Raw genomic sequence first — 24803 nt, 5'->3', positions numbered from 1 at the left:
GCTCAATTCCTCTCCCACTTCCACCTTCCCACAAAAAGAATAAAGAACAGGAGAACCAGCCCATGCTACCTGCAGGTTACATAAACATTCTCACCACCCAGCAAGAACTGCCTCCCCAAAACCCAAGTCAGTACTCACTGTTTTCTCTCAGTCCAACAATCCATCCGACTCCTCCTGAGGCTAGCTGCCAAGAGGAGACTGTCTGCAGGGTTTGGGATTACTAAAGGCAAGGTGCCACATATTGTTTGCTGCTGGCCCCTGTCTAAGGCAGCCTGGCTGAGATGTCAAGGAAGGCTGAGGCAGGCCCACACTTGGCCCACCTAGTCGGTCGCACCAATATGAAGCTGCCTTAGCTGGAAGAGCGTTGTCCAATAGAAGTTTCTGCAATGATAGAAATGTTTTATATTTGCTCTATCGAATACAGTAGCCATTAGTCAGCCACTGAGTCTTCAAAATGTAGTTACTGTGACTCCGAAATGGAATTTTTAGTTTTTAAGAATTTTAATTAATTTGAATGTAAATATAAATAGTACATATGTCTAGTGGCTAGCATGTCAGATTATGTAGGCCTTGCTCTCACTCACATAAAGGTGCTTTTGGGCGAGCAGTGGCCCTGACTACAGATGAGACCCAAAGCTGGGCATCCCGGCATGGTTTACCACAGCCAAAGCCCTGGAGCAAACCTACATGCCCAGCAATTAGAACTGCAGAACAGCCCCACAAAGGAACACCACCAGCCTGTACCACGGGCTGCTGCTTTATCCCCAATCTATTCTTTCCTTCTACAATAATAGAATCTCTTATTTTAATGCAAGTATATGGCTATCCAGAAAAAAGATCCCCAAAATGATTTTCCAGCCTGCCTTGTAGCTAGTTATGGTCACACCTAGTGTACCCACTGAGATGAAGCCAAGTGACAAGGTTGATTTTCCAGAACCTTCCTTGAAAGATAGCTGCCACGTGCTCTTTGTCTGTCTTTTTTTTTTTTTCTTTCTTTCTTTCTTCTTTTTTTAACCTCGCTGCTTGGAAGGTAGATGTGACATTGATGCTCTGGTCACTTTCACAGACCATGAAGACAAGGGCCACACCCTATGCTACCCTATGCCATTCAGTGTTTGTCCTCTCCAAAACCCATGTTGAAATTCGGTGGCCACTGTGGCAGTGTTGGGAGGTGGGGCCTAACAGGAAGTGTTTTGGTCATGCGTGTTCTGCCTTCATGAATGGACTGAGGCTTTTCCTTAGAAAAAAGACTCCGGGAGTGGCTCTCTGTTTGCCTCTTCCATTCCTCTGTTGCATGAGGGTCAGCGCTCCTCCCCTCCGGCAGCATTCAAGGTGCCACTTGGAACAGACCGTGCCCTCATGAGACACCAGAACTGCTGGTGCCCGATACTGGATTTTCCAGCCTCCAGAACTGTATGAGCCAATACATTTCTGTTCATTATAAATCACCCAGTCTCAAGTGTTCTGTTATAGCAGCACAAAATGGGCTAAGCACCAAGTGAGCTGGAAGAAGCCTGGATCCCTGCGAATTCTATAGAATAGAATTGTCATATACATTCTGGATTTTACATAAGAAAGAAAGAAACGTCTACCTTGTTCAGCCAGTACAGTTTGAGCATTCCTAATCTGAAAATCCAAAATCCAAAATGCTCCAAAATCTGAGACTTCTGGAGCACCAACATCATGCTCAAAGGAAATAGTCATTGGAGCATTTTGTATTTTCAAATAGGGATGATGAACTGGTAAGTATAATGCAAATATTCCAAAAAAGAAAAAATCCAAAATCCAAAACACTTCTGGTCACAAGTATTTTAGATAAGAGATACTCAACCTGTATTATTTTGGGTCTCTGTTAATGAAACTCAATCCTGATAAAGAATCTATTAAAAATGATAGCCTTCTGGCCAGAATCGCCATCTTCCAGTAATTTACCAAAATGATGAATACAAAAGGGAAAGAGGAGAGAAGTACCTGACATATGTTCTCCAGGCCTTTTAGAAAGCATGAAGTTGCTCCTTTGGCCACATATATGTGAATCTATCAGAAAGGTGATATTGGCAGGGTGTGGTGGCTCAGGTCTATAATCCTAGCACGTTGGGAGGCCAAGGCTGATGGATCACTTGAGTCCAGGAGTTTGAGATCAGACTGGGCAACATGGTGAAACTCTGTCTCCACAAAAAATACAAAAATTAGCAGGCATGGTGGCAAGCACCTATAGTCCCAGTTACTCAGAAGGCTGAGGCGGGAGGATCACTTGAGCCCAGGAGGCAGAGGTTGCACTGAGCTGAGATTGTGCCACTGCACTCCAGCCTGGGCAACAGAGTGAGACCCTGTCTCAAAAAAAATAAAAAATAAATACATAAGCTAAAAAACCTTTTTTTAAAAAAAGATGATATTGTAGACATCAGGGGAATGGTCACTGTTCAAAAAGGAATGCCCCACAAGTGTCACCATGGCTAAACTGGAAGAGTCTACAATGTTACCCAGCATGCTGCTGGCATTGTGGTAAACAAGTTAAGGGCAAGATTCTTGCCAAGAATTAATGGGTGTATGGAGCATATTAAGCTAAGAGCTGAGATAGCTTCCTGAAACACATGAAGGAAAATGATCAGAAAAAGAAGGAAGCCAAAGAGAAAGGTACCTGGATTAGACTGAAGTACCAGCCTGCTCCACCCAGAGAAGCGCACTTTGTGGGAACCAGTGGGAAGGAGCCTGAGCTGCTGGGACTTATTCTCTATGAATTCATGCATAATAGGTGTGAAAAATAGGCTGGGTGTGATGGCTCACGCATGTAACCCCAGCACTTTGGGAAGCTGAGGCAGGCGGATCACTTGAGGCCAGGAGTTCGAGTAGCTGGGACTACAGGCACAAGCCACCACGTCTGACTAATTTTGTTTATTTTTTGTAGAGATGCGGGGGGTCTCACTGTGTTGTCCAGGCTGGTCTTGAACTCGTGGACTCAAGCAGTCTTCCCACCTCGGCCTCCCAAAGTGCTGGGATTACAAGGATGACCCACGACGTCCAGCCATTGATGAGTTTCACTTTTTTAACATTAATCATCTTTAGTAATATTCTCCATAGTAGCCAATTACAAAACGTACATTACAGATGTAATACATCTGTTGGCCAGCTACAGCCTGGCCAACATGGCAAAACCCTATCTCTACTAAAAATACAAAAATTAACTGGGTGTGGTGGAATGCACCTGTAATCCCAGCTACTTGGGAGGCTGAGGCATGAGAATTCCTTGAACCTGGAAGGCAGAGGTTGCAGTAAGCTGAGATCACACCACTGCACTCCAGCCTGGGCAAGACTCTGTCTCAAAAAAAAAAAAAAGTTGTTAAGAAAAAAAAGACCACTAGACTATTTAAAAACACAGAAAACAATAACATAAATCAGGCGCTGTGGTGCATACCTATAATCCCAGCTACTTGGGAGGCTGAGGCAGGAAAACAGCTTGAGCCAAGGAACACAAGACCTCTCTCAGAGGGGAAAAAAAAGATAACATAGATTAAACAATATACTTATGATTTTTGTACTTTTCTATATGAAGTACCTCTTAAAATTTATATTAAAACAAACAAAAAATACACCTCCAATCAAAGAAGCCAGACACAAAAGAGTGCATACTGTACAGTTCCACTTATAAAAATCCTAGAAAATGCAAACGATGGCATATAAAAGCAGATCAGCTGACTGCCCAACTGGAGGCTGGGGTGATGAGGAACCTCAAAGGGACATGTGGAGTTGTTTGGGGATAATGGAAATGTTGTGTACTTTGGTAGTGGTTTTCGCAAGTGCATGCACACAACTCTCAAAACCCATGGTATTATAAACTCTAAATAGATGCAGTTTGATTACATGAATTACATTTTTTTTTTTTTTTGAGACGGAGTCTCACTCTGTCGCCCAGGCTGGAGTGCAGTGGCACGATCTTGGCTCACTGCAGCCTCTGCCTCCCAGATTCAAGTGATTCTCGTGCCTCAGCCTCCCGAGTAGCTGGGATTACAGGCACACACCACCACGCCCAGCTAATTTTTGTATTTTTTAGTAGAGATGCGGTTTCGCCCTATTGGCCAGACTGGTCTAAGACTCCCATACTCACGTGATCCACCCGCCTTGGCCTCCACAAGTGCTGGGATTACAGGTGTGAGCCACCATGCCTGGCCTAATTACATGAATTACACTTAAAGTTGATTTTTAAAAAAGGATATATCCTTACTAAGAGATGAATACAGCTAAGAGTTCATGAAGGACATTCCGAAGGTAGTAAGAGGCACTGGTACAAAATGATTATGCATAAATCCTTTGAATTTTCTATTTTATCCTTGTAGAGAGTTGTTTTCACATTTTTCCTAGTAAGTCAAATGCTCCACATTTTTGAGTACAAAAAAGATAATGTACATTTTGTAAATTGGCTAGTATGGAGAATATTACTAAAGATTGTTAACGTAAAAAAGTAAAACACATCAATGGCTGGATGTGGTGGGTCATGCCTGTAATCCCAGCACTTTGGGAGTCTGAGGTGGGAAGACTGCTTGAGTTCACAAGTTCAAGACCAGCCTGAACAACACAGCGAGGCCCCATCTCTACAAAAAATAAACAAAATTAGTCGGGCATGGCAGCATGTGCCTGTAGTCCCAGCTACTCAGGAGGCAGAGGTGGGAGGACAGCTTGAGCTTGGGAGGCTGAGGTTGCAATGAGCCATGATTGTGCCACTGCACTCAGTCTGGGCAGCACAGCGAGACCTTGTCTCAAAAACAAACAAAACACACACACACAAAATCAAACTACTTGAACACTAATATCTAGTTTTTGTTTTAAAAAGGACCCATACACATAGGTACACACTAAAAACATTGGAAGGGTATACAACAAACATTAACTGAGGTTATTTCAGGATGTAGGATTGTCAGTGATTTGATTTTTACTTCCTTCTTTACACCTTTCTGTTGTGTGAAAACAAGGAATATGACTGTGTTATAGTCGGGGGGAAAAACCCATCACTGTTATTTATGTGATGAAAGCAACATACGGCCATGTGTCCTTGCTCTGGCAGGCTCTGATGAGAGAGGGCTTCGTTTCATTCATGCTGCCTGATTACTAACCAGAAAAGTCAAGTGGTACACAGTAACCAAAGAAACTGGGCTGAGAGTCTTAAAACCCGTGTTCACGCTCCGAGTGTGCCAGTGTTTGCTACCCTAAAGTCATTTGCTCTTTGGATCTCGATTTCCTTATCTGTGCAAGACAATGGTTGGAGTTAATAATTGCTACAAGTGCCTGTTTCTCAGTTTTCAAAAATTTTAACTCTGATGCAAACCCCCAGGAATGATGGTAACTGATCTCGTTTTAAAAGATTGTGTGGGAAGTTGCAGGGAGGATGATTAAGGGCCTTCAACCCCCACCTCCCTGCATCCCCCATGAATCCCTTTCCATCAAGGTAGCTGGCACATCCACTTACAGTCTTCCTGCCAGCAAAAATGAAAGCCATTCTAAGTTCAGACACAAGACCAGCATGGGTTCCCATTAGCAGAAGCTTTTCCAAAGCCCTCACCTCAATCTAGACTCCTTCTTCTCACCCAGCACTCTTTGCTCTGGGCAGGGTTTCACAGCTTCTCCATGACCACCAAAAACATCCAGTCACTTGAAAACAGCTTTGGAGCAGCTCAGGCCAGCACTGAGCAATTAGGCATTCACGATGCCCCCTGCTGTTGAGTGGTAATTAGTTTAATGAAGGACTATTAAAAACACATAAAAATCTCAACCAACAAAAATAAACAAAGCAGCCAAAGTCAGCGTCTTACATGTATAACTGGGCCTGCATGTAATGTAATGCTAATGCAAAGAATGCCCCACACAGGCGCTTAGAAATATGCATGTGTGCTCCCTAGGAGCCCAGGCCTTTAATTGGCTTTAATTTTTTTAAATGCTCATTATATATCATGACCACACATATATACACAATGTTAATTCTAGAGAGTGGTTTTAACTTCTGACTAGAAAAAAACATATACAATTTATGAGAAAGCATAGACAGGCATTCTTTCCACCTTTGCAACTCCCATCCAATAAAGACAGGTGACTGGTGGATTGCCTAACCTCTTCCCTAGATGCTCAAATTTCTGAAGGGTGGCTTTTTGCTGCAAAAGAGATGACTCAGAAGTGGCTCAAAAGGGGCATTCACATTGAGAACTTTTTATTTCCCCTATTCCCCCCACTCTTTTTTGTAGATGATAGTGAAATAAAGGCAACTTAGATAGTGAGGGGGAATGAGCAGGTAGCTGCTGCTGTTCCCTGTTGGTTGTTCCCCCAAGTCACGGCAGAGAGAGGGACAGTGCCTAAGGCTTTAAAAGACAGCAGCCAACAAGTCAGGAGCCCAGGTGTGGAGACCTCCCTTTACCTCAAAAGAGGGGAAAAAAAGATAACATAAACTACATACTTATGATTTTTGTACTTTTCTGTATGAAGTACCTCTTAAAATTTACATTAAAACAAACAAAAATACACCTCCAATCAAAGAAGCCGGACACAAAAGAGTGCATACTGTACAGTTCCACTTACAAAAATCCAGCAAGCCACTGGCCAGTGGAGTGCATTTCTTTAATCACATCTTCTCTCTCTTGAGGGCAAAGACAAAACTATTCTTAGAAAAACCTCTACCAGCAGCAGATTATTTTTTCCCTTAATAAGAACAACCAGCCAAACTAGTAGAGTAGCATAATTCAGAGGAAACAAGTTCCTTTTCCTGCTCAGGATGAAGTGTGGGAGAAAAACATGAATGAATAGAATCATTTGCTCCTGGGTGAAACCCTGTCATCAAGGAACTCCCATGCTTTCCAAATATCAATGCTGCCAACTTCCCAAAGACCAAAACATCACAATTCCCCCATATTTACAAGTTAAAGCAAGCCACGAGTAAGAGAGGAACTGAACCACCCGGGAAAGGCTGCAGCAAAACAGGAAGTTATAAACAAGACTCTCAATTCACTATTCTTCGCTGATGTGGGTGCACAGAACACAGAGCCCATTCTTGAGGATTAGACTCAATGATGCTAACATTTGCCTTGCTTGATGAACTCCTCCCCTGAGGCTGACTTTACCTTAAGCGCACCACAGAGTTCAACAGTGTCTGCATCATCAACCACGGTAATTCGAAAATTTGGAGTCTGCAGAAGTTCTTTGAAGAGAAGGCCGTTCTCCATTACTTTGCTGCCTGTTGAAAGGTTAGACAACAAGGATATTAATAACAGCCTCTAATCTTAATTTTCACACCTAATACACTTTAAAATAAGTTTCTACTTACTATAAAAGTAACATGTTCATGATAGGATATTTAGAAAACACATAGGAGCAGAAATAAAGTAAAAATATCCCGTTTCCAATCGAGGTGATCATTTACAATTTGACATACATTTTTAACTGACCGAATGTGAATCTAAAGTTTTTTTTGGCCAGACACGATGACTCACACCTGTAATCCCAGCACTTTGGGAGGCTGAGGCGGGCAGATCACGAGGTCAAGAGATTGAAGCCATCCTGGCTAACATGGTGAAACCCCATCTCTACTAAAAATACAAAAAATTAGCTGGGCGTGGTGGCACGTACCTGTGGTCCCAGCTACTCAGGAGGTTGAGGCAGGAGCATCGCTTGAACCCAGGAGGTGGAGGCTGTAGTGAGCTGAGATCTCACCACTGCACTCCATCCTGGGCAACAGAGCGAGACTCTGTCTCAAAAAAAAAAAAAAAAAAAAAGAAAAAAGCATGATTGTCAACAAGTAAAACTACACCAAGAAGTGACACAATGTCAAAATAATCCAGGCCATCTGAGGGTTGAGAGAGGGTGGGGAGTGGATGAAATGAGACTGGCCAGGAGTTAATCATTTCTAAAGATGGGTGACGGGCATGTGAGGTTCGTGATACTACTCTACTTTTCTGAAAAGTTTCATAATAAAACACAATATCTACACCCAATACTTAGAAACACAGTCTACTCTGTAGCATTACTGTTCTTTCATTTAGCTGAGTTCCCCTTTTCCAAATGTTAGAACTATGTCAGTTTGTGCAAACTGTTCTCTTCCTTTTTAAACAGTCCACCAGGCTGTCTAGGTGACTCTGTGCAACACTGTTGCATCATCTGGGTTGGGTAAACCAGCCCCTGGCCCCTACATCATATTACAGCCTCATCGTGTCTCCTCCCACTGCTCAGTGCCTCCAACATGAAGCATGCTCCTGAACATTGCAGACCAGCCCCTCCCTCAAGTCACTTTAATCCAGCCATCTGCAGCTGGAAACTTGGGTTGCTGGTGAACAAACTGAGGAATGGGCAGGGGAAGGCACACTCTTGGCTTGCCATAGATACAAGGTAGGGTCTATGGGTTCCTTTGTGGCTGCAAATAACGCAATGCCCATCCAAGAGGTGGGCTTGATTTATAGCAATCTCATATTTTCTCAAAGGTACCTTTTAAAATTTATTACCTTAAATCATGGATAATAGGTAGTAACTTTATTTATTTATTTATGAGACAGAGTTGCTGTGTTGCCCAGGCTAGAGTGCAGTGGCACTATCTCAGCTCACTGCAACCTCCACCTCCCAAGCTCAAGCGATTCTCCCGCCTCAGCCTCCTGAGTAGCTGCAACTATAGGCATGCGCCACCATACTCGGCTAAGTTTTGTATTTTTAGTAAAGATGGGGTTTCGCCATGTTGGCCAGGCTGGTCTCGAACTCCTGACCTCCAGCAATCCACCTGCCTTGGCCTTCCCAAGTGCTGGGATTAAAGGCATGAGCCACCGCACCCGGCCCGCGAATTTTATTATTAATATAATACCAGTCATAAGCCAGCGCGGTGGCTCATGCCTGTAATCCCAGCACTTTGGGAGGCTCAGGTAAGTGGATTACTTGAGGTCAGGAGTTCGAGACCAGCCTGGTCAGCATGGCGAAATCCCATCTCTACAAAAAATTCAAAAATTAGCCTGGCGTGGTGGTGTGTGTGTGTGTGTGTGTGTGTGTGTGTGTTCCCAGCTACTCAGGAGGCTGAGGCATTAGAATCATTTGAGCCCAGGGGGCGGAGGTTGCTGTGAGCCGAGATCACGCCACTGCACTCCAGCCTGGGCAACAGCGTGAGACTCCATCTCAAAAACAACAACAACAACAACAACAAACCCCAGTAATAAACAGTGACATGGCAAGCAGGGACTCAGGGCATCTGTACAGAACAGCTAATGCCGGACAGCCATGTGGGAAGGTTGCCCAAAACTCAATGTAAACCAAAGACAGGAAAATCCCCTTTCTCTGTCACACCAAGTTTTAGAGGCAATTAACCTATGTAATAAAACTCCTTCAAAACCCTTATTTTAGTTTGTGATTCCATATGTGTTTGTGTGCTTACAAGTTCCATAAGGAGCTTATGTATTCTAGACATTTGGCACCATGCCTGATACATAAGAGGGTTTGAAAAATATTTGTGGAATGACTGGATTAAAAGCCTCAGAGTCTGTGGTATGCCCCAAGAACGAAAGGAGACCTTACCACAAGAGGGCACTGTAGTTCACCATGACAGGATTTTGAGGCCTGAAGCTGCCCTATCTTTTCCCTCCACAGAAGATTCAAGTGGGCCACGATTCCTGAACCTACCGCAATTTAAAATAGTCCCTATGCATCAACAAAGGATGTCTGGATAACCACACTGCAATGATCAAATACAGAAAATGTAATGTTTACATAATATTATTATCTAACATATAATCCACATTCAAACCTCACCAATCACCTCTGCATTGTCTTCCACAGCAACCCTCCCTGCCTAATCCAGGACCCCACACTGCACATAGTGCTCATGTCTCCTTTTTGATTTTTAGAGACAAGGTCTTGCTCTGTCACCCAGGCTGGAGTGCCATGGTGCGATCACTGCTCATTGCAGCCTCCACCTCCCACGCTGAAGCAATCCTCTCATCTCAGGCTCTCGAGTACCTGGGACCATAGGCGTGCACCACCACACCTGGCTAATTTTTGTATTTTTAGTAAAGATGAGGTTTCGCTTGTCATGTTGACAAGGCTGGTCTCAAACTCCTAACTTCAGGTGATCCGCCCGCCTCAGCCTCCCAAAGTGCTGGGATTACAGGTGTGCGCCACCACACCTGGCTAATTTTTGTATTTTTTGTAGAGATGGGATCTCATTATGTTGCCCAGGCTGGTCTCAAACTCCTAGGCCCAAGTGATCTCCCACCTTGGCCTCCCAAAGTGCTAAGATAATAAGTGTGAGTCACCACGCCTGGCTCGGTAATATATCTTTAGTCCTTTTTATTCTGGGACACTCCTTTAGCCTTTCATTGTCTTTCATGACACTGACTTTTTTGAAGAGTCAAAGATACCATTGGCCTGTTGTTTTATAACATATCTCTTACTTTGGGCTTGTCTGATATTTTCTCATGATTAAATTCAGGTTATAGGCTGGGCACAGTGGCTCGCACCTGTAATCCCGGTACATCAGCAGGCTGAGGCAGGAGGATCCCATGAGGCCAGGAATTCGAACAAGACTCTACTTTTAAAAATTAATTAATTCAGGTTATATAAAACAATTTTTAAACATCACTTTCATATTCTATCTTACTTTCAATGTTTTACTTAAATTTTTTTTTTTTAAAGAGACAGGGTATTGCTGTCACCCAGGCAGGAGTGCAATGACGTGATCATAGCCACTGCAGTGACTACAGCCTCGCTCAATCTCCTAGCCTCAAGGTGATCCTCCCACAGCAGTCTCCTGAGTAGCTGGGACTACAGGTATGTACTACCATACCAGGCTAATTAAAAAATTTTTTTTTTTCTTTTTTGGAAACTCCCAGCTACATTTCCCAGGGTGATTTCAAACTCTTGGCCTCAGAAGATCCTCGGCTTTAGCCTCACGAGAGCTACTCCACCCAGAAATGCTTTACTTAATTTAATTCAGGTCATCAGTGCTTATCACACTCCACCCCACAGAGAAGGCATAGAAGCACCGGGTAAAGAAATGCCAGAGGGAAAGAAATGCAACTTATGTGCTTTTATCTGTTTTTTAAAACCAAAAAAGCCTAATGTACCCAACTAGAAACTTTCCTACAACAAACAGGGCTAGAGTCCTAGCCAGGATTGGATCAGGGATTGGGATTGCAGATTAAGATTTAGTCTTCCAGAATGAACTGGGAAAGGATTATTGGCAAATAGGATTGAGTTGGAACAAACTAGTTAATCTTTTTGGGAAAATATAAGTAATTACATAACAATTTCACAGGCTATATTAAAACTGCAGATAAATAAAAGAATTTACTGTAAAAGAATAAGACATATTCATATATGTACATACTAGCATACAAATATAAATAAATTTTTTCCAGAAGAATATTTAGAAACTGCTAATAGTAAAAGCCATTAAAAAAGAATGAAATCAGCCGGGCGCGGTGGCTCACATCTGTAATCCCAGCACTTTGGGAGGTTGAGGCAGGTGGATCATGAGGTCAGGAGATCAAGACCATCCTGGCCAACATGGTGAAACCCTGTCTCTACCAAAAATACAAAAATTAGCTGGGCGTGGTGGCGCATGCCTGTAATTCCAGCTACTTGGGAGGCTGAGGCAGGAGAATCGCTTGAACCAGGGAATTGGAGGTTGCAGTGAGCCAAGATAGCACCACTGCGCTCAAGCCTGGCGACAGGGTGAGACTCCATCTCAAAAAAAAAAAAAGAAAATCATGTCCTTTGCAGCATGGATGCAGCTGGAAGCCATTATCCTAAGTGAGTTAACATAGGAACAGAAAACCAAATACTGCATGTTCTCACTTACAAGTGAGGGCTAAACATTGGGTACCCATGAACATAAAGATAGCAACAACAGATACTGGGGACTACTAGAGAGGAGAGAAAGGAGGGAAGGATTGAAAAACTACCTGTGGGGTACTATGCTCACTACCTGGGTGACAGGATTAGTCATAACCCAGACCTCAGCATCATGCAATACACCCATGTAACAAACCTGCACATGTACCCCCGAATCTAAAATAAAAGTTGCAATTATAAAAAACAAAAAAGAAACTGCTAACAGTGATTCCCTCTGGGAAGAGGGAAATGGGTGGGAAATTACAATCTTAGTTCTACTTTTCCACCTTCTCATGGTGCTTGAATTTTTTTTTAAACCTGTGTCTGTATCACTTTCGTAAATGACAACCTGGGCAGGTGGTATCATAGGCTATTCTTTTCTTCTTTGTATTATTTGTGATACTTCTCCTCTCCAACAAATATTATTTTTCAAAAAAAAGTTTTGTATCCAAATATATGGAATTGCTGATGGAATGCTATGCAGTTATGAGGATGTACAGTATGTTAACAGACTCTGAAAGGTTTTTGTTACATATTCAGCGAATAAAGCAATTATTAAACAGCATATGATTCACTACAAACATAATAGTTCATACAAATAGTAAAAAAGGATATATAACAAAATTATCAAAAATTTAAAATGGCTTTCTTTTGATTATCTCTATCTTCCATAATAATCATGTAAAATACCTCCATAATTAAAAATAAAAATTAAGGTAGAAAATTCCAAAAAAATCCTAAAAAGTCCTACGTATAGGCAGGTATAAGAATCTGGAGCTACATTTTCCTGCGCATTCATCTCATGCAAGAGAGCCTGACATCTCTCAGAGCTTCCTTTTACAAAGCTGCCAAGGGGAAATGATTCATATTGCTTGCAGGTTTGATAAGGGTGAAAGTAAGTTCTGCAGTGGTAGATAAACTTTTGCAAAGCATCTGAAAATACAATAATATTACTCTTCCAACAAAGCATCGTTTAATATAGTACACGGACACTTGAGAATTCTCAAAGCCCCTTTCAAAAGAAATGAAAATTTTCATAACGTCAATGTGAGAATAATGTATCTAATGTATAATGTGTAAGAGTAGAAAAGGCTTACTAGTTCAGGAAACAGAAGACTCAAATTTGTTCCTGGCTTCTACATTAGTGTGTGATCTTGGGGCAGGTAATTTATTCTCTGAGTCTTATCATTCACCTGAAAATGGGGGTCATTCAACCAATTTTTAGATCTCACTGGAATCAATGAGGATCCAGATACTAACATTTGTAAGAAAAGAAAATTTGGGCTTCTGAGGCCAGGGGACCCCTACCATGGATGTAGCCACCTGTTTCTTGGTACAAGCAACCTTGCACTTTTGTGTTTAACCTCAGTAATTCATTATTGGATCACAGCAAGTCAGAATGCTCTTCTTGGCTATATTCATTTATATTCATTCTGGAGGTTGTTGAAACACTTCAGTTCCACAAAATAGCCTCCTTAAGTAAAACCCTCGCCCCACTGAATGCCCAACTAAGGAATGTTAAGAGGGACAGGGAAGAGTCTATTACAGAAAATATCAGAAATGGAATATGTACATGTTCAAACATCAAATGTCCAGACTCCTGGGGTCCCTCCCAGGCAGTGCTTACCGATGGTGGTCTCACAGAACTTCTCTGCAGCCACCTCATTGGCAATGTTGGCTCCCATCAGCACACTGATGTCAATACCCATCTTCTCACGGATGATGTCAGAAATGAGCTTCAGCCCCTCGGGGCCCTCGTCTATGCCCTACAAGGATGCCAAGAAGTTAGGAGAGAACAAACCGCCAAATCAAAGAGGCATGGGATAGTAGATGTCCCATGGCTACACAACTTGAAAAATGTCTCCTACTTACAAGAGTAAAAGCATCTATACTGCCTATGTACAGCTTAAAGAAGAATCAAATGAAGAAAATAAACATGTACTCATCACTCGTGTTAAGAAATAGAACGTGACTGACACCACTGAAGTCCCCTGTGTGTCTCCTCTCAAGTTCATCCTCCTTCTACCCCTGCTCCCCAGGGTGAACCACTGTCCTGAATGCTGTATGCATTGCTCCCTTGCTTTTCTTGACTATTTTACCACATCGGATGGTCCCTAGACAATGTTATACGTCATTATCCCTGGGGTTTCAAGTCTATAAAGAGAGTTGTGCCATTCACCTGTGATGTGCTGTCTTGAACTACAATACCGTTTTAGAGATTCACTCATGTGGCTGCATCAAACTTCTGGTTCGTTTCTGTTCACTTACTGCACAGTATTCCAAAATGAATAGTTCACATTTCATTTGTCTACTCTCTTGCTGATGACATTTGGGTTGCTCTGGTTTGCCTTCATGAACATTCATCTGTAAATGCTCTGGCACAGCCTCTCTTGGGAGTTCTTAATCTTTCCAACGACATGGGCCTTACCCCTGGTAGTCTGGTGAAGTTTATGGACTCATTCTCAGAATTTCATATGCATAAAACAAAACACCTAAAATAACCCAGGAATCCAATTATGTTGAAATTTGTTTAAAAAACAAATTTATGATAAAGTAATATATGCACTGTTTTATTAATGCAATTAGAAAAAGATATCATGGCAGGTCTAACAATTACCACAATTTCCAAGTAGTGATGAGTATAAATGATACCTTGAGATATCAGAAAAAGGTGTAAACTGAAATGAAAGCCCTGCGACTCCTATTGACAAGGTCTCAGATCCTGCTAATACTGCTATTACTGAAACTTTGGCTGTGAGCTGCATTCATAAATGAAGAGAATGCTCATTTCACTTAGAGGTTAAAATGAGTTAGAATGCAAGGATTTTTTTCCACCACATTTAAATGCATGAACTTCCTGTATTCAACCTGTGGACCTTCAGAGGTGGTTCATGGAGTTCTGGTTAAAAACACATGCTTTAGGGTATATATCCAAGAATGGGCACTAATGGTTATTAATTTCCCAGCTAATTCAAACTGCTGGTGCTTTCCAGATGGCAGGCTGAGCCCCGAGAGTGGACTGGAAGGGGCGGCACAGCTCTTCACATCACTGCTGCTGCTAGTCTGCTGCAATGGAAAGCAGCCCACTCTCAATCTGAGCTAAACTAGTCTTATTTTTTTTATGACTTTTGAGCATCTTTAAGAACACAAACGAAAAACCGCCACAACTTCCCCTTCAGCTCCAAATCTCAAGCAGATGAAAGTGTGAGGAAATGAAATTTCCTGATAACCAATGTCTAGCCCTGGGCAGCATGCACTCGAGTTACCTTGATGAGGGTGATTCCCAGCGCTTTCTTGGGCACTCTCCCAGTGATCTCATCACAGATTCTGTGAATGAACTGGTGGGGAATGACAAACACCAGCAGGTCTGCATCCTGCACAGCCTCGCTAAGATTTGACATGGCAACCTGCAACCAAAAGGCAGAGAAGACCGTTTCTCCTCTTATATCAAACCTTGCCTGTCCACAAGGTTTCACTCACTGACCATTTATCAGATGCCTACTATGTGCAGAGCATTGCACAGATAGACAAGGAAGGCAAGTGTGTTTGCTTTGCCTTCCTTATTCCTTATGGGGGTCTGAAGCAGAGGGTTTGCCTCTGTCACCAGCTGGGCAGGTGAGTTATCCTCTCCACCCCTCAACTGCCTTATCTGCAAAAGGCACCTCTAATAACACTATGTGGGTTGCTCTCTGTTGCTCTCCCACCTCACCAGCCCCCTCATCCATTTTCCGCTCTTCTCTGCCCCATTCTGTTCTCAGGAGGCTGCTTTCTCTAAACTATTTCCCCAGGCTCCCTTGTTCTCTGGCTTCCAGTGGGCTTCAGCCAATGGGAGGCATTGTCAGGAGATCAAAGGATGGGAGGAGAGACAGGTCAAGGGTATTTATCAGCCTCCTCGGGCCACTTCTGCCTAGGCTCACAGTGTTTCTGGCTTGGCTTCATTCCACAGCTGTCCCTGCTGCCAGGCAGCCCCTTTCTAAGGCCATGTCTCTAAGCCCTCTTCAGGCTGGTGACATGTTCTTTCCCTGACCCTTTTAGGGGTGGTAATGGCTTCCTGCTGTTGCTAATCTCCGAGCACTTCACCAACCCCTGTTGATTCCCTCGACCCCATGGCCCCTCTGTAAATGATCCCACACTAAACTCTCCTTTGAGAGTGCCACTGTGAGGACTAAATGATATAGAAAACTGCCTGGGACTTGATATACACTCAACACATGTCAGCTATTATGACGATTTCTTTCCTTAAGGGTGAAGATTAGTTTAACACGGCAGAAGTGAAGGCATGCCGTGCGGACTCCAGGGCACATGGTCTCTGGCAAAGGCTTCTTGCTGCACCTAGTATCTGTTCTTCCTTATTCCTCAGCATTAGAACCCCTAGTTTCAAGCTGGGCTCCTGAATGCCAGCAAAGAAGGCTATGTTTCCCTGTGCTCCTTGCAGCTACGTGTACCATGTGACTGAGTTCTGATCAAGGGAGCATCAATGGAAGTGCTGCCTGTGACTTCTAGAAAATGTCCTGGAAGGTCCTTCTCCTTCCTTTTGCCAGTGGGAATGTGAAGGCATGGCGGAAATTCAGACAGTCATCTTAGAGCAGAAGGAGGACAGCACATGCCGAGATGGCAGAACAGTGGAATCAAACAAGTCTCTGCCACCATGATGCTACACCAACCACAAATGTCTTTACATTAGAGAAAAATGCACAAACATTTACCTTGCTTAGACCACTGTTATTTTAGGTTTTCTGTCATATGTATTTAAACCTAACTATAACTGACTTAGTCCCCATTAAGCATTCCTGGTTCCCAAAATGAAAGGCCTTGGATGAAGATTCTTCTCTGAGGAAATCGTGTCTGTCACAGGAACATCATTCGGAATGGGCCAGCCTCTGAGGAAACCTAGTTTGGGGGTTGTGATGGAGATTGCCAACTCCCAGCCAAAATTCCTTCTCCCCTTTCTCTATAATCACAGACCTGTAAGCTGGTCGCTAGTCATCTAGCCAGGGACTGTGTTTCCCAGCAGTCCTTGCAGCTACACATGGCCATGGACCAAGTTCTCATTGTTGGATGTGAGAGGGAGAAGTGGTTTCCACTGACAGCCCAGAGCCCTCAAGACAGTGGGTTGCCTCCTCTACACTTTCTCTTCCCCCTTTCTGTGAGCTGAAAACCTTGGTAACTTAGCCTTGATCACACTGAGGGTTACAAGGCTTAGGAGATGGTACAGGGGAAAAAAAAACAAAAAACATGGGACCAAGAATAATAGTGTAAAGCAAACCACTGGAGTATTTCTATGTGAGAGGAAGACAAGTCTCTTGTTCTTTGTCACATTATTATGTCTTTTGCAGTATCTTAGCCTATTACCTTGACTAATGCCTGTGCTAAGAGTTACTCCCTCACACAAAGGATTCCCCAAAGAAAATGTATCTGAAGTTTAATTCCCTTATCCCTTCAGGAGGTGTGGAGGACTTCCATAATTTATTGCCTAGCCTCCATTCCCCTTCTTTCTAGAAGTTTCCTTAAACTTCCTTTCAAAAGCTACAACTTCCCCATTTTATCCATGCCATTTGGGTGGAATTGGCCCCTACCCCATTTCAGGGGTGGTTCTTAACTTGTTCAAGCTAATGGGCACATTAAACAATCAGAGCCAACAAGAAACCAGTAGATGTCTTCTGGGAAACAGATGCTTCCTTATTCTTCAGGAGTAGCCTGAACAATGTCTTTCCTTGAACAGTGTGGGATGCTGCTGTGAAGTCTGGAACTACTGCAACCATGTTTACAAATGTGAGGGGAGAACCTACGCCACGGGGCTACCATGTGGATGAAGCCAACTTTGCGGATGGCAAAGCAGGGGAACAGAGGGAAAAACAGGGCCCTGTTAATATCATGTAACCTGCTGGTTCAGGCTACACCTGAAGCCAGCACTGCCTGGATCTTTAGTTACAAGAGCCAAAACATTTAGCTTTAAGCTGATTTGAATGACAACCTAGAGTCACTCCCCATAGAGCAGATCAAAACCCAAAGCTCAGCACTTCTCCACCGTTAGTGGCAGATCCAAAGGCAGGGAAGGCCTATTTGCCTATTTTCCTCTTGAAAGGGCTTCTCCAGATTGGTAATCTAGGCTAGGTAGTCCACAAGTGGTGAAGATTTATTAAAAAAATCCACCTGCTACATTATTCCTCTCCCACCTGGAGACTCCACCCCCTCCAACAAAGCATTTTCTGATTCTATTGCATTAATCTCCCGATGAAGGCTGGGCGCCATGCTCATGCCTGTAATAATCCCAGCACTTGGGGAGGCTGAGGTGGGTGGATCGCTTGAGGCCAAGAGTTTGAAACCAGCCTGGCCAACATGGCAAAACCCCATCTCTACTAAAAATATAAAAATTAGCCAGGTGTGGTGGTGCACACCTGTAATCCCAGCTACTTAGGAGGCTGAGGCATGAGAATCACTTGAACCTGGGATGGGGAGGTTGCAGTGAGCCAAGATCGTGCCACTGCACTCCAGCCTGGGCGACAGAGCAAGACTCTGTCTCAAAAAAAACAAAACAAAACAAACAAAAAAACAACCCTCTCGATGCCAACCCACAATTGGCCTGTGTGTCGTTTATTGGCAAAGCTCATTGTTTTGTTCTCATGTGTTTGCCTGTGTCCCACCCATCTTCCCACGGCCTTCACAAGAACTCCGATCACTCCTTCCCCTTCAACACTGGCCTTGCTCAGATGGGCATTTATGCACCCTACTCCCTGGTTCATATGGAGCCTGGCCGCCTGACTTTTAATTAAAACCTATTCCTCTGGACCTACTGTTTCTCCTCTTCCCCATCCACCTCTAACACATACACATTCCTCCCTTTCCCCCTTTGGGGCATTTTCAACATGGTGAAGTGGAAAAAACACCAGAACCAAAGAGAAAAAATATAGGTTTGAAGGTCTGGGTTGCACATCTGCAACTGACCAGCTGTGTGACCTCTGGCAAGCTACTCAGCTTCATCGACCTCAGTCACTCCATATGTAAAATAGAGATAAAAATTACCTTTCCGATCTGGCTACCTCACAGAACCCTTTCCAATTAAGTAATATGAGTGGCAATGTTTTGAAACTACAAAGACCTTAACAAATGAAAGCGTATTCATCAGAAAAATCTACCCGTGTCTTGCAAATCCTTAACTTTTAAGAAATCGGCCTATTCCCATGTCTCTTGCTAAAATACATCCCCAGCCAGGCTCAGTGGCTCATGCCATAATCCCAACACTTTTGGGAGGCTGAGGTGGGAGGACTGCTTGAGCCCAGGAGCTCAAGACCAGCCTAAGCAACACAGTGCGACTTCATCTTTACAAAAAATAAAAAAAATTAACCAGGTGTGGTGGCGAGTGCCTGTGGTCCCAGCTACTTGGGAAGTTGAGGTGGGAGGATCACTTGAGCCCAGGAGGTCGAGGCTGCAAAAAGTTGTGATTGCACCACTGTACTCCAGCCTTGGGGACAGAGTGAGGCCCTGTCACAAGCAAACAAACAAACCATTCTCAAGGAATCTGCTAGCTGGCCAGGATTTCTTCTGTCTCTTACATTTCCTTCTTAATAAATCAAAGAGGAACCTGCAGGTGGTAGGGAATGTGATGGTCTCTAGGACAATGTGGTTGGGGCTTATTCTCCTTGGTGGAATACTTAGGGTTTAACCCACAGAAGCAACGTGTACAATGTGAGCTGTATTTTTATGGTGTGCATGGTCCATTCACAGAACATTATTCCTCTTACACCGTATCAGAACAAGTTCTTATCAGCTAATGAGATCATGTGAATCTCATCTTTCAGAATAAAACCTTTTGCTAAGCCCCTACCCGATTTTCTGCTCTGAAAATAATCAGGAGCTGCTTTGGAAATGGTGACTGATTTTGTGAGCCTCCTGCCAAAACTCTGAAGGTGTCCATCGTTCCAGATTCTGAAATATGCTGGGAAGCAAAACTCAGAACAACAGGTCTTGCCTTTCAATGGCAAGTAGGACAAACAACCCAGAACGAAGGCATCAGGGCTGGTTTGCTTAATGCCCAGACTTTCAGGAGCCCAGTGCTCTTAGTCTAAGTTAATAAAAACCTAATAATAAATAAAAACCATTGGAAACAAAGCTGGTGAAGTCTGTGTGGACAAGTCTGAAGGTTCTTTCGTACTTCCTGGATCCACCATCACTGTCCACAGTGTGTGCTCAATGAGCTTTTACCTGTTAGCAACATCTTATCTGCAGCCATCAGAGTGGGCAAGAAAAAGACCTCACTTTCATCATCACAGACTGATCTCCTCACCCTCCAAAGATGCTATTTTATGGTCTTTAAAACCAATTAGGACTAAAATGCTTTCTCCATTCATTCATGACTATAAATAGGCTCGCTGGATCAAATCTGAAGAAAAAATCTCTAAGTAGGAAAATAAGAACAGCTTCTCCCTGCTGTTCCCAGAAATAATCACTATCAATATTTTGGTACACTCCTTCCAAGGTCTTTTCGAGCCTACAGCAATGTCTAAAATTGTATTTATAGAATTAAAGTAATATTTTATATCTTTTTAATATAGTATTATAAGAATTTTCCTGTTATTCAAATGAAGACTTTTCCCCCTAAAATCCATGAATCTTACTACAAACCTTTTTGTAGCAACATCATAGTAATGACAGATAAAACAAGGATAAGCCAAATAAAAGATACCAAGGCTGTTCTCATTTTTATCTAATCTCTTAGGGCCACTAGTTATGTCTACTTCAAGTCTGTATGAATCTACATGCTGAAACAATTCTGGTTCCTAATGAGAATGGTGTGGTTTAACAACGGTCCAGCTGCCGTGGCTGCACGGAGCATCGTGGCCGGGCTCTAATGCCAGTCAGCTAACCGGACACCATGGCAACTCACCTACATTATCTGGGGGATGTGTGTACTCAGATTCAAGACAATACCAGGAGTAAAACACATAGCAGTGTCATACTTGGGACATAGTAGAGGCTCAAAAATAGCGTAATTTTCCTCTGTCTCTTCATCTCACTTGCAGCCAAGATCTCAGGTGAAATTCACATACTTGGCTCTACATGCAGAAACATGACCCTCAGACAGAGGACCTTATCTGATGATTCTTATGTAAACATGCCACTGCTGGTAAGTAAGGCTACTTCTGGAAAAATAGCTATCCATCGCCTGGATTCCCCAGTACAACACCAATAATATCAATTTATTATGTACCCCCATGGTTCCCAAAGCATGGCTCCTGAACCAACAGCATCCCCATTACCTGGGAACTTGTGAGAAATGCACATTCAGGGACCGCACCTGAAACCTACTGAATCAGAAACTATAGGAGTGGGCCCACATATCCCTGGGAAGCTCTCCCAGTGATCTGATGAACACTAAAATTTGAAGATCACCAGGGAAAACTACTCCTCTAATGAAATCAAAGAGTTAAACCCAGGGAGGAAAGGAGTAACACTGAGGCTTCGCACTGAACTGATATTTTAATTTTCAGAAGGCTTTCAGCAAAAATTAATAGGTATTACCCCAACCCTAGTATCCAAATGTAAATGATTAATTTTTTTTTAAGTCTTGCCCTAAACTTATTTCCCATGTGATACCACCTAAAAAGCACTGAAACAAAACTCTTCATCCTGGTTTGTTCTTCCTCACCACTTCCACTATCCTTGGCATTTATTCAAACCACAAATAATGCCAGGCACTATTCCAGGTGCTGAGGAGACATTAGTGAATAAAGACCTATGCAAGAAACTATACTCAAAGAGTTCACAGCAGAGTAAAAAGGTAAACATTGGACTTCATAATTAAAAACTTTTGTGCTTCAAAGGATACCATCAAGCAAGTAAAAAGAAAACCCACAGAACAGGAGAAAATACTTGTGGAGAAAGGGGACCTGTATCTAGAATATATAAAGAATTTGTATAACTCAATAATAAAAAGACAATCCATTTTTTAAATGGACAAAGGATTTGAATACACATTTCTCCAAAGATATACAAGTGACAATAAGCACAAGATGCTCAACATGGTTAGCCATCAGGCAAATGAAAATCAAAACCATGAATGAGATACTCGCTAGGATTAAAAAGTCAGATAACAGCAAGCACTGGTGAGAATGTGAAGAAACTGGAACATTCACACACTGTTGATAGGAATGTAAAATGGTACAGCCACTTTGTAAAACAGTCTGGCAGTTCCTCAAAAAGTTAACTCTACTCCTAGGTATACACACAAAAGAAATGAAAACATATGTTCATACAAAACATTGTATATAAAGGTTCACATTGTACATAAAGGTATTATTCATAATACCCAAAGAGTGGAAACAGCTCAAATGACCATCAACCAATGAATGGGTAAACAAAATGTGGGACATCCATACAACAGGATCGTATTCAGCCATAAAAAGGAACGAAGTATTGATACATGCTACAACATGGATGGAGCTTCACAGCATTATGCAAAGTGAAAGAAGCCAGTCACAGAAGACCGCATATTGTAAGACGCAATTTACATGAAATATGGAGAACAGGTAAATCTATAGAGATAGAAAGTAGATTAGTAGTCACCTAGGGCTGTGGGACAACTGGGGAAAACAGGAGGTGACTATGAAAGGGTACAAGTTTCTTTTCAAGGTGATGAAAATGTGTTAAAATTGATGGCAGTGATGGCTGCACAGCTATGTAAATATACGAAAAAAGCCACTGAATTGTATGGTCTGTGGATTATATCTCAGTGAAGCAGTTTTTTAAAAAGGAGGCAGGAGATGAGAGGCAACGGCAACTATATTTCATGGGGGTGCTGGAATCTAAATCCTGGTGTCACTGGCTGAAGCTGGAACAGGGAAGCAAAAGAATCCTCTACCTTGATGAGCTCCAAACACAGGCTCTGGAAATAGAGCTAGAAAACAGGATCAACCATTTTGCAATTACAGAAAATAATGAGCATTCTTTTTTTTTTTAAACGGAGCATTCTATTTTTTTTTTAGATGGAGTCTTGCTCTGTTGCCCAGGCTGGAGTGCAGCGGGGCAATCTCGTCTCACTGCAACTTCCGCCTCCTGGGTTCAGGCAATTCTCCTGCCTCAGCCTCCCGAGTATAGCCGGGATTACAGGTGTGCACCACTACACCCGGCTAATTTTTCTTTTTTTAGTAGAGATGAGGTTTTGCCATGTTGGCCAGGGTGGTCTCGAGCTCCTGACCTCAAGTGATCCGCCCCCCTCAGCCTCCCAAAGTGCTGGGATTACAGGCATGAGCCACTGCGCTCGGTCCCAAAGTGCTGGGATTACAGGTGTGAGCCACCGCAACCGGCCTTCAGAAAATAATGAGCATTCTTTTCATTCGGATCTAAAGGGAAATCGCAAATCCAGACGGGCTCAGCTTTTAGTGAGCAGGCAATGACATGGTGAAGTCACTGTAACAGAAGGCTCCTATGTGGGAGGGGCCACATGATGAGTGTGGACCTGGGGAAGGGTCACGTTGGCAGCAGTTTGAGGGTCTCACACAGAAAAGGCTCAGTCTGAAGTCAGCACATCAAATGACAGCATAAACAGTGAGCTTGTGTTGACGGAAATGCAACAAACCTCTCCTGCTTGAATTGGAAAGAAAAACAATGATTAAAAACTGTACTTTTAGGTGGCTACCTGAGGCTGGAGGGTGAGGGACTGGGGACATATTGGTCAAAAATTTCACTTAAACAGGAAGAATAGGTTTGAGAGATCTATCAGACAACAACAGGGTTCTGGGAGTGAATTCTCCTGCCTCTGTCCACACCCAGTGACCAGGGGTGGGTGGTGGAGTCAGTCAAGTGGGGGGCAGGCTCTCTCAACTCCTCTATGTCGATTCCTTCCCTCCCACTCTCCCTGTTCGCAGCACAGGCTCCAGCTTCACAGAACCACTCAGCAGATTCACTTCCCCCAACATTCCTCAAATATCCACTGTAGGAAAAGCACTGTGCTAGGGACTGTGGGTGAATGAAGAACCAGAAAGCAAGGTCACACACTGAGGGCACGTGGAGGTAGACAGACAGGTACACAAGGGACTGGCGCCAGGCAGGGTGGGAGGAATGTAACAATGAAGCATGTAGTTTACCAAAGGGAAGGGGCAACCAATTCTGATAAAAATGAGAAAAGTGAAGCTCAAAAGAATGATCTGCCCCAAGAATGGATTAGAGATGACCCCACAGGCCTTCCATTGCAGGGGGAAGAGCTACCTCTTTTATTCTCTCCAGCAGATATTTGGACAACTTAACTTCTAAGCTCACAACTCTAAAGGTTCTTCTTCCCCCACCAACTACACCAAGAATAACTGTAGGGAAATGCTGGCTCACCCAAGTCCAGAGCAGAAAGTCATCACTGTCTAGAAGGCAACAGATTCGGCATGCTCAGGGATGCGTCCACCAGGAATCAATCTGAACCGTAGCCCTCAGCTGTGTGACCCTGGACAAGTTCATTAGCCTCTTTGAGTCTTGGTTTCCTCCACTATATAATCAAAATAATCACCCTAATAGGAAAACCAGTAGTATCAGCCTAAGAGGGTTATTGAGAGGATTAAATGAGACTAAATGTATTGCTTAGCACAGTGCTTGACACTAACGAACACTGTAACTAAAACTTCCCCACATTTATTGATTTAGAGATCGGTCTCCCCCGCTCAGTTCCTTGAGGAAAGCAACACTGTCTTATTCCTCTTTCTGTCCCCAGCACCCAACACGGTGCTTTGCATGCACAGTGCATGCTCATAAGGTTTGGTGAGTGAATATATGCAGTAAAGGGTATTTCGTTAACAAAGGAGATGAGCTTCTTGGGTTAACCATAGGAATCAGACAGCCACAACTGTCTGTTTTTCAAAGAGATTATGATAGAAAGCCACAAAGGGGTGAATCTGACAACAGAAGAAGTTCATAAATTCCACTCAGACAAGCAGCAGGGTACACCCTTTTCACTCCCCAAGCTCATTTCTTTCTTCCCC

General features: G+C 43.2%; 1 protein-coding gene and 1 pseudogene across 2 annotated transcripts in view, besides 3 other annotated features; one reads left to right on the top strand and one right to left on the bottom strand.

Moving 5' to 3' along the window:
• Positions 1-24803, bottom strand: part of GPD1L (glycerol-3-phosphate dehydrogenase 1 like) — a 62090-nt gene that overhangs the window by 14875 nt on the left and 22412 nt on the right. The window contains exons 3-5 of one of the 2 annotated variants that reach the window (NM_015141.4): positions 15108-15248; positions 13469-13607; positions 7101-7213 (exon numbers count right to left, since the gene is read on the bottom strand). In NM_015141.4, coding sequence (NP_055956.1) covers positions 7101-7213; positions 13469-13607; positions 15108-15248 — 393 coding nt within the window. The remainder of the gene's footprint in view (positions 1-7100; positions 7214-13468; positions 13608-15107; positions 15249-24803) is intronic. The other variant, XM_006713068.3, reaches the window with a different exon arrangement.
• RPL21P137 (ribosomal protein L21 pseudogene 137) lies at positions 1940-2752 on the top strand (annotated as a pseudogene).
• Positions 5439-6052: an enhancer, noted in NCBI's record as "OCT4-NANOG hESC enhancer chr3:32189275-32189888 (GRCh37/hg19 assembly coordinates)". NCBI's record gives its function as "activates a minimal SCP1, AML or CMV promoter by ChIP-STARR-seq in naive H9 embryonic stem cells {active_cell/tissue: H9 hESC(naive)}" and the evidence as "EXISTENCE:reporter gene assay evidence [ECO:0000049][PMID:30033119]".
• Positions 17576-17745: an enhancer, noted in NCBI's record as "experimental_69731 CRE fragment used in MPRA reporter constructs". NCBI's record gives its function as "activates a minimal promoter by MPRAs in K562 erythroleukemia cells, with activity observed for the introgressed 3:32177667 variant allele {active_cell/tissue: K562}" and the evidence as "EXISTENCE:reporter gene assay evidence [ECO:0000049][PMID:34662402]".
• Positions 23626-23795: an enhancer, noted in NCBI's record as "experimental_69674 CRE fragment used in MPRA reporter constructs". NCBI's record gives its function as "activates a minimal promoter by MPRAs in K562 erythroleukemia cells, with activity observed for both the introgressed and non-introgressed 3:32171617 variant alleles {active_cell/tissue: K562}" and the evidence as "EXISTENCE:reporter gene assay evidence [ECO:0000049][PMID:34662402]".

The sequence above is a fragment of the Homo sapiens genome, chromosome 3 (genome assembly GCF_000001405.40).
Source record: "Homo sapiens chromosome 3, GRCh38.p14 Primary Assembly".
NCBI lineage: Eukaryota > Metazoa > Chordata > Mammalia > Primates > Hominidae > Homo > Homo sapiens.
This window is presented reverse-complemented; position numbering and strand designations above follow the sequence as displayed.